This window comes from Homo sapiens, chromosome 5, assembly GCF_000001405.40.
Source record: "Homo sapiens chromosome 5, GRCh38.p14 Primary Assembly".
Lineage (NCBI taxonomy): Eukaryota > Metazoa > Chordata > Mammalia > Primates > Hominidae > Homo > Homo sapiens.
In genome coordinates this window covers 119,215,396-119,229,126 of record NC_000005.10, presented here as the reverse complement: position 1 = coordinate 119,229,126, position 13,731 = coordinate 119,215,396, and the positions used below count along the sequence as shown (strand labels likewise).

Sequence of the window (13,731 nt, the reverse complement as noted above, 5' to 3'; positions counted from 1 at the left end):
CCCAGGCAGGTCTTGAACTCCTGGGCTCAAGCTATCCCCACACCTCTGCCTCCCTAAGAGGTGGGATTACAGACATGAGTCACCGCGCCCAGCCGAGATTTTGTTTTATCAAGATAATTTCCTGTGCTTCATGTCTTTTTAGGTCTTTGATTACCTAAGACCTAATGTTAATATTAACATTATTATTAAATTAGCTATATTTCAATATTAAAATATCTAAGGTTTTTTTCCTACAACATTAAAATAGCTAAGGATTTTTCTACAACAACATAACTTTCTGTATTTGCCTTTGATGTCTTTTAATTATCACTCTGGTTAAATATTTTTCCACAGTAACCTTACTATAATCAAGTGTTTTAAACTGTTTGATATTTTTGACAAATTTCCCAAAAATACATTATAAATGAAGTACTTTTGACCTCACTCTAACTTTGCGAGTTTCCAAAGGGCCCTTGCAATATCTCAAAAAAAATTTGTTCTCACTCCCTCTAAAAAGAAGAATGTTAAAATAATTAGGCTTAATTGATATGTTAAATTGCATGGGAAGCATTGTCAAATAACGGTGATACCTTCTTATATTATATTTGTATGGGTATATACTATTAGATAAGTATTCCAGAAATTGCATGAAGGTTCTAAAAATCTGATGTGTCCTTGTATAATGTTATCAGCCATACTTTCAGTTATTTTGTTAAAATATTGTATGCCACAGAAGCAATCAAATTTACTTGTCAATTGTGCATTATGATAATGAATTGATCTTTAGTCATGGCCATGTTAAGTCTTTTGTCACTGACAGATGGTTATTGTTTCTCCTGATCTTCACTGAAAGTGTCTGCAAGTAACTATAATCCTAAAGTGCTCTGTCTTCAAGGAGATTCATAGAAAAGACTCTGAAAGGTACTGGTTTCTGATAACATTTAGATCCTATCATTGGACAGTGTAAGAACTTCCAGAACTCTAAGGGAAAAAACTTATAAATTCATTAAACTGCTAACCAAGATCAAGTCGAACAAGAATTAAGTATGAGAGGCTGAATAACTTATTGAAGAAAATCTATGGTTTTTTAATAATTATGGTTTTGAAACATTGCTAGGTCTTTATTTTGTTTTCCAGATTTAAGAAAACTTTTTTCTTTTCTCTTAAGCTATTCAGTAGTTTATGGAAATTTGGCAAAGTATGCCTTCGTGAACAAAGATAAAACAATTACTTTTTCTCTCTACCTGATCCCTCCAGAATTTGGAAGCTATTAGTGAGTATTCTTATTTTCATGGCAATATAGTTATTTGCATAAGTTCAGTAAGAATCTGTTCTTTACAGCTTGCCAGGAGTAAAAGCAAAAAGAACCTGTCCTTCTTATAGCAGGACATAATTGGAAACATCGGTCGTATTACCAAGGCTTTGACTCATATATCATATTGGAGACTATGCACAGAATCAGATATCACCCAGACAGCTTTAAGGAACCAAAGGCTGACAGAGCAAATAAGATACCTTGAAAAAAAACCAAAAAACAGAAAAACTGGCCTGGTACTGTACATATATAGTCCCTTACATGGTTGCCTTACAGAAGAGTAAAGACTATCACTTCCTGGCAGACAAAGGAACCCCAGGATTTTCTGAGGACCTCAAGAAAAGAGCAATCAACCCAAATCTATAGGACTGCAGGTGAAATCAGATGGCAAGTCCTTGGCTTGACTTCTGAGCCTCAAGAGGTTTTTAAAAATCTTATCTGAGATTCCTTATTAATGTTCCAGCAGAGCAGACTTCACTTTTACTCAGCTAGGCTTATATAGAACCTATCAAGTGTATGATTTCAACAAATACTTATTAAAAAGGGAAAACACATTAAACATTTTAGAAGGGGAAAAAAATTAAACAGGGAAAACACATTAAACATTTTAGAAGGGAAAAAAAATGACCCAGTGTGACATAAAATACATATTTGGTCTTTGTCCCTGGATCCTGGCATACAGCTACTAAAACCCATGGAAGAGCACCTGAATTTATGCTAATGCAGTGTCTTAGATGGGGTCCCACAGATAGCCTAAAGCATTGAAACTTTCAGTTCCACTCGCCAACCTCCAGAAAAGGGTGGGAAAGGGAGCTGGAGATTAAGTTCTATAAAAACTCTTGAACAAGGAGATCTGATGAGCTTCTTGGCTGGTGAACACATCCATGTGCCAGGTTTGTAGTGCACCCTAACTCCAAGGGGAGAGAAGCTCCTCTGCTTAGGAGTCTTACAGACCTCATTCTATGTACTTTTCATCTGTTTCTTTTATAATAAACTGATAAATGTAAGTAAAGCATTTTCCCTGAGTTCTGTGAATCAGTGTAACAAATTAATCAAACCCAAGGAGGGAGCTGTGGGCACTCTGATTTATAGCCAGTATGCCAGATGTGTAGGTGAAAACTGATAACCTGCGAGTGGTGTCTGAAGTAAGGAGCAGTTTTGTGGGACTGAGCCCTTAACCTGTAGGATATGATTCTAACTCCAGGTAGACTGTGTCATAATTAAACCAAATTATAAGGCACCCAGCCAGTACTTGGAGAGGTGGAGAATGGCTTGGAGTGGACAAAAGCCAACACATCTGGTATCAGAACTGTACATGACAGCATAGAGAAACAGTGTGTTTTCTACTCAGAAAATTATAAAATGTACTAGGCTAACTTCTAAAAAGTTCTTTAAGAATTTTTCAAAAGATCTATTCCAAGGAAAGAAAACAGCTATCTTGAGGTATCTGAACTTCAGACTAATATTTTTAAAAATCCTGTCTCATAACATTTTCACAACACGAAAAGTGTTTGTTATCAAACTAAATTACTACCTGTGGGACTTGTTTGTGACATGAAAAGATATACTGGAAAAAAAATCCAGTAATTAGCTTTTAATTTTTCAGGTGTCTTATCTGCTAGTTTTGGCAGTTCTCTAAACAGAGAAAGGATTTATCTCTCAAGACAGCAGTAATTGATGCTACCTAACACCTCTGACAATAGGTCCATCAATTACCTTTGAAGCTTTGAGCGTGGCCTCTTTAAGTTTATGGGATTAAGGTATAGGATATTTACACCTGCCAGGACACATGGTATGGGACTGAGAGAAAAATGAAGTCCCTTCAGTATCTCAGAAAACTTCCAACCAGACTGCATAGAATAGGGTAGTTTTAAGCAATATCAAGTATTTCCTGATGTAGAATAATATTATTTAAATTTTATATATAAAACACATTTTGACTCCTTACACTATAGGCTTCATGACTGCTTTTTAGTTCTCACCTGACATTAAACTTGTGGGTAAAAAATACACACTTCTAGCGATGAATAAATTTGATGTAGTGAAAACAGACAAATTTTTTATATTATGTTATACCTCTAGCATAAGTAACAGATGTTATTCTCTTCATTTTACATATACGGTTCTCTTGAGCCTTGTTTCGTACAGCGTACACAACTTTGATAATAGATTATTTGAGCATTTATCATAAATGAAGCAGAAAAGAATACTGATTTTGTTAACTGCATTTTATCAGAATATCTCCCAAGAGAAAAGTTTCTAAAGTTTTTAATAGGCTATTAAACTGGGGGACATGAATACCCATTAATTAACATGCATTATTCTTGTTACTATGTAGTAGGACAATTTGACGAAGGGCATAACTTAAAAAAAAATATTAAAAAACTTGGAATACTCACACACCAGTATGAGTATTGATTCCAACCCACCAGAATCAATACCTCCAATAAATTCCCCATTAATTAAGTTCTTGGTTGAAGGAAGAGAAACTTTTAAGATTCCTAGGAAGATTAACTGAAAACACATATATTCTGCCTTAGAATATAAAAACTAATAATAATTTCCTATGTTTACTATTAATGTGTCTCATAAAAGACCAACTGAAAAAAAGTAATAAAATACAAACTGAGTACGATGAGGTAATAAATAATTGAGGTACGGTTGTGGCTTATGTAATAAAGGTTGGCAGTGGTTCTATTATTAAAATAATTATTCACTATAATTTAGCATGATCAAAGAAATCCAGAAATGTTCAAAGATAAAATGTGTTAACTTAGAAATACACAAATTTTGTGTATTGGTAGTCGCAAATTTTGATTGGTAGTCAAAATGTCAAAAAATTTACTTCATTAAATCAGCTTTCTCTTTTAGGGAAATATCTTTTTCTATTTTTACCCAGTTTTGAAATCAAGATTTTATTTACTGGCAAATATTCGCTAGAAAAAAAGTCAAATAAATGCTTTCAATTAAAACAAAAAGGTTCCCACACATTTCTTATAATAAAATTACCAAAAATAGATTTAAGAATAAGAAAGGACAATTGCTAATTATTATTCAACTTACAGTAAGGAAGAGTTGGATGAGAAGTCATTCTTCTAACATTATTAATGGCTTTCTTAATCATCTGGTAAAATAGAAAAATTATTTTATAGGCATAATAAAAAGGATTAAACATTTAAATTGTGACAGGAAATTCAAATAACATTCATTTATTTATTTTTACATGAGTTCATAACTATCATTATGGGTGCTAAAAATACTAAACATGATAACAGAAATTTAATAGTGCAGCTCTTATATTTGCACATATATTTTGGGCATTACTGACTAGGATCTAAAGATAAATTCCTTTCAAGAATTTAGTCTTCCCTCCTTTCTTGTCAATTCTTTTCTGATCCCATTACATTTATTATTCAGTAATAATCCTGAATAGTGTAAGTTTAAAAGACAGGAGCATGTGAAAATAAAAGAAGAGAAAATTAAATAAATTTAAAAACAGTTTGGAACTATGTATTTACTCATTTTAAAGTTATGCTTTGAATAATTTAACTAGCCTGTCAAATAAGAGTAAAACAAACACATAAAATTAAAGGAAAAATTTATAGAACATTTCCAATTTATATAGCATCATAACTACAAATATATGTTATCTTAAATTTGTAGCATCAGTCTCAGGTAGGTTTTGTTATTGTTATTCTTTTGGATTTTAAATGGTTCAATTAGCCTAAAGTTGTGGAGAAGGTGGGGAGTTGGTAGGGAGAACAGAGACTAGGCCAGAGAAAAGAAGAGGGATAAATAAAACTGAAACACATATATTGATGCAGTTATACTCCAAAATAGCAGAAGCTGGTCATAATGATATTTTTTTGCTATTAGTTTTTATCATTTGATAAAATGAAAGGATAAAGAAAATATTTTATCAGTTCTCTAGAAAAAATAAAAACCTGCTGCATATGACTTCTGTTTAGTAAACTTCATATTTAAATTCCATGTTCTTCTTAATTAAAGAAATGCCTGAAGGTTCCTATTCTTGCTTTTGTCTTCTTTTTTTAATATTCACAGGAGAACCATACGTAAAAAAAATATACAAACACAGGTTTAAAAAAGTTTCTGAAAGCATATGTAAAATATGTAAAATCATTATTTTAGAAGATCCATGTAAAAAAGAACAACCTTATTCTACTGGTGTCTTTTTGTTGAGGGTAGAGTGAGGCAATCCGAACCCTCATGTTAACAAATCACAGTTATCCGAAATAAAAAGATGTCCTAAGATTTAGGTAGGAAGAAAATTCAATCCTTAGTGTTATGCCTATGGTAGATTTCTGTATTACAATGCTTTGGAGTATAAACACATTTTTCTGAACACCTACTATACGTCCAATACCATTCTAGTTAGAAATCATCAATCTGCAAGGCAGGCAGAATCCAAGCTCTCGAAGAGCTTAGATTCCAGGGCATATAAAAAAGACAACTTAAGGCAGGGCACGGTGGCTCATGCCTGTCATCCCAGCATTTTGGGAGGCCAAGCTGGGTGCATCACTTGAGGCCAGGAGTTCAAGACCAGCCTGGCCAACATGGCAAAACCCCATCTCTACTAAAAATACAAAAATTAGCCGGGCATGGTAGTGCATGCCTGTAATCCCAGCTACTAGGGAGGCTGAGGCAGGAGAATTGCTTGAACCTGTGGGGTGGAGGTTGCAGTGAGCCAATATTGCACCACTGCACTGCAGACTGGGCAATAGAGCGAGACTCCATCTCAAAAAAAAAAAAAAAAACACAACTAAGTAATGAATAATTTCAATAACTGGTAAGCGCAAGGGATAATAAAGATGATAAAATATAAGGTGACTGGGGGTAGAGTGGGTAGGGGCAAATGCCTTAATTAGGGAAGCCAGGGAAATGTGGGGGGATTTGAGTTGAGATGTGAATGGTACAACAGAGGGATAGAGCATTTTAAGCAGAAGGAAAGTCAAGGGCTCCTGACATAACCATGAGCTTAATAAGTTCAAGAGACAGAAAGAAGCCAGTGTAATTACAGCAAAGAGAATCAGATGTAGAATAAAGGGAGATGAGATGGCAGAAGGTTAAATTTTGTAGGGCCCTATTAATGACTTGTTATTTAAAAGCCGTATTGGGAAATCTGAAATTTTTTAGAAAGCGAGTGACAACCTGAATGATGTTTTAGAAAAGAGTAACTGGCTGCTGCTGTGTAAAGAATAGAAGTAGGAAGAGACCAACAAGAAAGATGTTACAGGAAGAACTATATTGTAATCTCTGAGGTTGGAATTCAAAAAAGTGCCTATTAGTCCTATGCACTTCTTTGGCATATATTCCCTTTGAGTTCTCCTTTAAAAGAATATAATATCAGTAAGTTTTACCAATGAATTGTAACATATCTGTCAGCTGGAAAAATTATTTAACCACCACTGAGCAAGTCATTTCATTTGAATAATTACTAGATTGCTTTTCAAGTTCATTTTAATCCTTAAAACACTGCTACTTGAAATCACTGAACTAAGGAGAACAGAGGGCTTTAAAACAAGCTCTACCATACATTTAACAAAGTGACATAAGTTGATCCACTTGACCTTTTTGGATCTCAAGCTTCATCTGAAGAATGTTTAAATACGAGTAAATAACAACTACAACAGATACTGCAAATTATAAGGTTATAGCAACTATAAAGGAACTCCATTAGGTACAAAATATTACAAGGTATTATTAAAGATAACTCAGATTTTACTTGAACAATTGCTCATACTAATTAATGAAAAATAATTTTTTTTTTGGCCAAGGAAAGCATTCTACAGTACTTATGAAATTCTGAAAAACCCTACCACCTTTCTTTGCTTCTTCAAATCCGTTCATTAGTTCCTATAACCTACGTAATAATAAAGGCTTGGAAGTACAAATATGAATCACATCTCTAGGTAATCAGGGCTAAAAAAGATCCTCCAACACTACAGAAAAATTATGTTTCAGTTCATTATTATATTGCTTTTTGCTTAACTTAAGAAATTATATATTGTTTTTGTTAAAAAAAAAAAAAGAATATTTGTCCTGGCATTTAAAAAAGTGATACTTAATATGGATATAGTTATTAATTGATATCCATTAAAAGATACCTAGACAAGGGGTTAGCAAACCTTTTTTTATAAAGGACTGGATAGCAAGTGTTTTGGCTTTATGGGCATTTACTTTCTGTTGCAGATACTCAATTCTGCCACTGTAGTGTGAAGGCATCCACAGACAAAATGGAAACAAATGACTGGCTGTGTTCCTATAAAACTTTATTTGTAAAAAAACACTGAAATCCAGTTTCATGTAATTTTCATGTGCCAAAAAATACTATGTTTGTTTTTTCAACTATTGAAAAAACAATGTATAAACCATTTCACTAAAATGTATACACCATTCTTAGCATATTAGCTATATAAAAACAGGTCATGGGTAATATTTGATCTATGGGGAACACCTTGCTGAAGCCTGATCTGAACCATGTTTCAAATAATTCTTAATTAAAATATAGCTCTTTGGTTTTCAAGCAAAGTATATTTTTAAAACAATTTATTATTACCCTTTCAAATGAAAACATACTAGTCTTCATTATCAAAATTTACAATTTCCAACATGTAAGACTTACTAAAACTTTAGGAATTAAGAAAAATGTTTTAAATCATCCTTTATCCATTAACCTAGAGGGAAAAATAAAAGTTACATATAACTTAAATTTATTTTTAACTTTACATACCACAGATGCTCCTCTGCCAGTCTGTGTACTACCAAGCCATGGCATGTTGATTGGAGTGCCAGGATTGCTATGTGTATATGGAGTTGTACCTTGAACAGCTGTTAAATCATCACGAGCATGTATAACCAAGAAATCTTCTGATCTATAAAGGAATGTCAACCAGAATAAAAACAACTCATCATTTCTTTCTTTTTTACACTTGAAAGGTCTAAAATTTGAATTTATAGTTCCCTTTAAAATTAATTTTCTTCAGCTCTTATTTGTAACTCACACACAATGACCTCATACCTCAACAATTTCTGTTCCCTTCACTTACTCTTCTCTCAGTTCCCTTATTTAAAGCTCTTGCCACCCCTCATTTAGCACATCAGCTTCTACTCTGCTTACAATCTATACATTGCTTTAAAGAATCTTTTGAAAGTTTTAGTTCAGTAAATATAGTCACTCATATTGCAACATTACTAAATAGAAACAAACTATGAAGGTACCCTTTGGTTTCCACTTCTATATCATCATCTACCCAAGTGTAGACCTGTGTGGCCAGAATTCCAGAAACATCCAGTTCTTGAACATCATGACTGGAAGCGATTGCTATGCAGTTTCTATTTGCCTGAAAAATAAGTCAAATGGTAATTTTAAAAGCAATAGGCAAAAGAGATAGTATATGAGCTGCTTTTGAAAATGGTAGTTTTGAAATAACCTCTAGCAGTGATAACTAAAGTACAGGATATACAGCATTCTTACTTTTAGTGAAATAATAAGCTTCAGTTTGGAGATACGTTTATGTTCTATGAAAAGTACATCCAATAGAAAGCCAGTATAAATGGCAATACATGCAGCATTTTATTTCCTCTCCCAGTACTGTTTTTCTAGACTGCTAGAATGCTATGATCGCTCTAAGGTATGCACAATTCAGAAATGTGGAGGAAGATGCTGAAAAAGATAGGAACCTGTAGGGTACAGAAAGGTGAGGGCAATAAGGAACTCCAAACTAAAAACATAATTATTAATTATTTAAATAAAACAAACTTTCTCCTAAAGCTTTTCAATCTTAGGCAAAAAAAAAAAAAAGAAGTGGGAAAGGGTCACAGAAAAAAGGTGTAGGGGCAGAAATATAGTGGGAGAAGTATGCCAGAAAAAGATCACAAATGAAAAGTTGCTAAGGTTAAATGACATGAAATTTTAAATGCCTATGAATCAAAAATGTACATCTTGGCTGGGGGCAGTGGCTCACGTCTATAATCCTAGCACTTTAGGAGGCTGAAGCAGGCAGACAGCTTGAGCTCAGGAGTTCGATAGTAGCCTGGGCAACATGGCAAAACACTGTCTCTACAAAAAATACAAAAATTAGTTGGGCATGGTGGCATGCACCTGCAGTCCCAGCTACTTGGGAGAATGAGGTGAAACGATTGCTTGAGCCCAGGAGGTCGAGGCTGCAGTGAGCTGACATTGCACCACAGCACTGGGCACCAGGCATGATACCCTGTCTCAATAAATAAATAAATAAATAAATTAATTAATTAATTAAATGTGTATCTTTGAAACAGAAAACAGGAAGATATTGACAGCAAAGAGAAAATAGGATTACCATTACTGTTATGTTAGATTTTAACACAAACTATTAAGAAAAAACTGAGACCTTAGAAATAAATGAAAAAATGATATAGCTAGATTATTGGGTGGTTATTCTCCATGGGTATCCCAAATTCTGCATGTTTTATAAGTGAGTCATGTCTGCCCTTTTTTCTGCAGTATAATTGCCAGGATGTTTGTATAACTATCGTCTCTCCCTCCAGAGCAAAGGGCAAGTATGCTTACTATCGATTATAAAAGATTTGGGTCCCCTAAACTCAGAGATCCTCTCCTGTAATATAACCTACTATGTGTGTAGGTAAGGTAGGTATCATCTGGCCCTCTTCCCGTCATTCTCTGGAAATTGTGGCTCAGGCAACCAGTGTAAAGTGCTGATTTTCTGGTTATTGCTTTTGCTGTTAGACATAAACTGTCCTTTGTCTCTGATCCAAGAGTCGTATGTCTTCTAACAGCATCCACTAAAATGTTTAATGGATCAATTAAATGGACTGTTTAAACAATCCACTGCCTGCCTCAAACAGAACTGTTTCTGTGGCAACAGAAACAGAAAGCTAACTGTTAGTTTTAATTTAAGGTAAAATCTGAGACCCTTCATAGTTTTTGACACAGGTAGTTCCCAACTAAACAAATGGCAAAAAAAATCTCAATGGCATTTAAAAAAATGCAACTTAAAGCAAGAGGTATTATTTCTCAGCTGCAAATTTAGTAAGGATATTAAAAATAGCATATCAGCTGGGTGCAGTGGCTCACGCCTGTAATCCCAGCACTTTGGGAGGCCGAGGCAGGCGGATCACGAGGTAAAGAGATCGAGACCATCCTGGCCAACCAACATGGTGAAACGCCGTCTCTACTAAAAATACAAAAATTAGCTGGGTGTAGTGGTGCACACCTGTAGTCCCAGCTACTTGGGAGGCTGAGGCAGGAGAATCGCTTGAACCCGGGAGGCAGAGGTTGCAGTAAGCCAAGATCGCGCCACTGCACTCCAGCCTGGGCAACAGAGCGAGACTCCGTCTCAAAATAAAATAAAATAAAATAAAGTAAAATAAAATAAAATAAAATAAATAAAAATAGCAAATCTGGGGAAATAAAAATTAAACAGGCATATTCATAGACAGTAACTTGTAGACTTTATATATGTGAATAGCTATTCATTACCAGTACTTATATATAAACCCTCAAGAAGAAAACAACTAGTTTCTTTTATAGCACAGACTATTTTAAATCATATTTTCTTCAAGAAAGAGCAGGTAATGCAGGTATAGATAATTTTTTTTTGTAGAGACAGGGTCTCACAATGTTGCCCAGGCTGGTATCAAACTCCTGGCCTCTAGTGATCCTACTGCCTTGGCCTCCCAAAGTGTTGGGATGACAGGTGTGAGCAACCACACCTGGCCAATAATTTTGTATTTGACATGTATATATAATATCATGTTATACAGATATTACAACTGGCTAAGGGGCTGACTCCAGATTTGCCTGTTTCAAACAGAACTGTTTCTTTGATAACAGAACTGTCTGAAGCAGGCAAATCTGGAATCAGCCCTTTAGCCAGTCATTGCTCAACGGTGTCTAAGAAGGAAATTAAGTGAAGCACACAGAACAACAAAGATACTGTCCAGAAGAATTCAGAGAAGACAGACATAGCACAGAAAGACAGAAAACCAACTGGTGAAAGGATTACTAAATGGGTAATTTCCCCGTATATCACACTTCCCTGTATTACATATTACATATACATATTACAGGGTATGTATCTACATAACATTTAACAATTATTTTAAAATTAGGAACATATGAACATCTTATATATATGTATACAATATCTCCTTTAGGTATCTTCTATGAATACATAAAAAGAAGATACACATATCCTTTAAGTTAATGGAAGGAAAACAAAAGAATAACTAGAAGTCATTAGGAACCATACAGTAAGGCAATTAGGGGAGACAGAAGGGGAAAATGATTAATAAGACAGATTTCAATCTTGGACTATAGTACCTAAGGCCACCTCTTCTGTGAGGAGTGTATAGACATCTAAGGAGGATGTTAAGTAGAAATTTAAGAAATACTAAGAAAATACACACGTTGGGCAGCTATCGGAGGTATAAATCAAAGAGGGAGAATTTGAGTCACATATAAGCTTAAATCTTACCAAATACCCAGAACCACATTTGACATATTCATAAGGAACATAAAAAACTTTTTCTGTGGGTTAACTACTATAGTACATTGTATAAATTCTAAAGCGATTGTCTATATATTTGGTACTTCTCTCTGCATAGTAATAAAACATTATGTATCAGCTGTATCTCCAAAATCATATAATAACAAAATCACATTATCAAATAATATCATTTTATAAAATTAAAAAAGTATCCAGATTGCAATTTAAGGAACTGGAAGCAGCTTTGGGAAAGAAATACTGGATAAACTGATAAAACAGAAGATATTATCCAACTATAAATACTTAATAAACAAAAGAAGAATGTCTATGTACTTACCTTATTAACAGCAAACGCAGTAATGATATCAGATTCCTTATGAATAATTCTTGCTTTACCTCCAGGATATCCCAAATCTGCTTCTATCTAAATAAAAGGAAACAAAACACAAAAATGCACTGATTTTAGTAATAGAACTAATAATATATGCCAATCTATCAATTAGTACTTGCATAAATTATTTTAAGAAAGTAGATATTTCAATTCTAAAGGTATTATTGTATATGCTAATTATCCCTAAAACAAAATTTGACATGGGAAATTTAAATTTCTTCAAACTTGCTTTTTTACACATAAAAAAACAGCTGATACAACATACAACTTCATTAAGTGGCTATCCTCCCGAGATACAGTTAATTAACTTTAAAGGATCAACACATTCTAATTATTAAAGCAAAATGTATTTACCAAGTTTCCTAGCATTATAATTCTTTCATATTATTTTTTAAAATTTAAAAGGTCAGATAGTCAATATTTTAGGTTTTGCAGACCACAAAGGGTCACTGTTGCATTTTTTCCAAACCCTTTAAAAATTCTCAGCTCATGGACTATATAGAAGCAGGTGAGATTTGGCCAGATGGCTGTAGTTAACCTTTGATTTATAGAGAAACCTGAAATTCTGAAAGGCAATGTAACTTGCCCAAGTGAGTAATCATTTTAGTAGCTAAATAAACCACCATTCTAAGTACTTTAGATGAGGGACATATATTTGACCTTCTGCTTACTCCAGACAAAGTGTATACATCTTTGGACTTAGAAAAGAATACTATATAAAATCGACACTTACTAAAATAAGCAGAAAAGAGGAGGCAATTAAAGAGTTGAAATGTTGCCTAATATAGGACATTATTTCATATTATCCTGCTTTTTTTTTTTTTTTTTTTTTTTTTTTTGAGATGGATGCTCTTGTCGCCCAGGCTGGAGGGCAGTGGCCCACAGTCTCAGCTCACTGCAACCTCTGCCTCCCAGGTTTAAGCAATTCTCCTGCTCCAGACTCCCAAGTAGCTGGGATTACAGGCACCTGCCACCACACCGGGCTAAGTTTTGTATTTTTAGTAGAGACAGGGTTTCACCATTTTGGCCAGGCTGGTCTGGAACTCCAGACTTCAGGTGATTTGGCCACCTTGGCCTCCCAAATGCTGGGATTATGGGCGTGAGCCACCACACCCAGCCATTCTAACTTTCAATCTTTTAAAATGAATTAGGTTTTCAGACTTATTGTGAAATGCATAAATTATCTGAAATCAGCATACAATAAATTTACTTACTGCAAAATTTTGATAGAAATATCACCAATGCCCGGCCATTGACCACAGAATGGATCAGAATATGCAGTGTTTTAAAAATAGCAACTAAGGTCAGGTGTGGTGGCTCACGCCTATAATCCCAGCACTTTGAGAGGCTGAGGTGAGTGGATCACTTGAGGTCAGGAGTGGCCAACATGGAGAAAAGTACAAAATTTTACTAAAATTACAAAAATTAACTAGAAATTACTTTACTAAAAATACAAAAATTAGCCAGGCGTGATGGTGCGCATCGGTAATCCCAGCTACTTGAGTGGCTGAGGCACGAGAATCACTTGAACCCAGGAG

General features: G+C 34.3%; 1 protein-coding gene across 26 annotated transcripts in view; it reads right to left on the bottom strand.

Moving 5' to 3' along the window:
• Positions 1 to 13,731, bottom strand: part of DMXL1 (Dmx like 1) — a 178,101-nt gene that overhangs the window by 20,001 nt on the left and 144,369 nt on the right. For all 26 annotated transcript variants that reach the window (NR_170869.1, NR_170867.1, NR_170868.1 and 23 more), the window contains 4 exons: positions 12,140 to 12,226; positions 8,534 to 8,655; positions 8,046 to 8,187; positions 4,358 to 4,418 (listed from right to left, as the gene is read on the bottom strand). Coding sequence is in view for 23 of the 26 variants with exons in the window: in XM_011543213.3 (XP_011541515.1) it covers positions 4,358 to 4,418; positions 8,046 to 8,187; positions 8,534 to 8,655; positions 12,140 to 12,226 (412 nt within the window). In the remaining 3 variants the exon portion in view is untranslated. The remainder of the gene's footprint in view (positions 1 to 4,357; positions 4,419 to 8,045; positions 8,188 to 8,533; positions 8,656 to 12,139; positions 12,227 to 13,731) is intronic.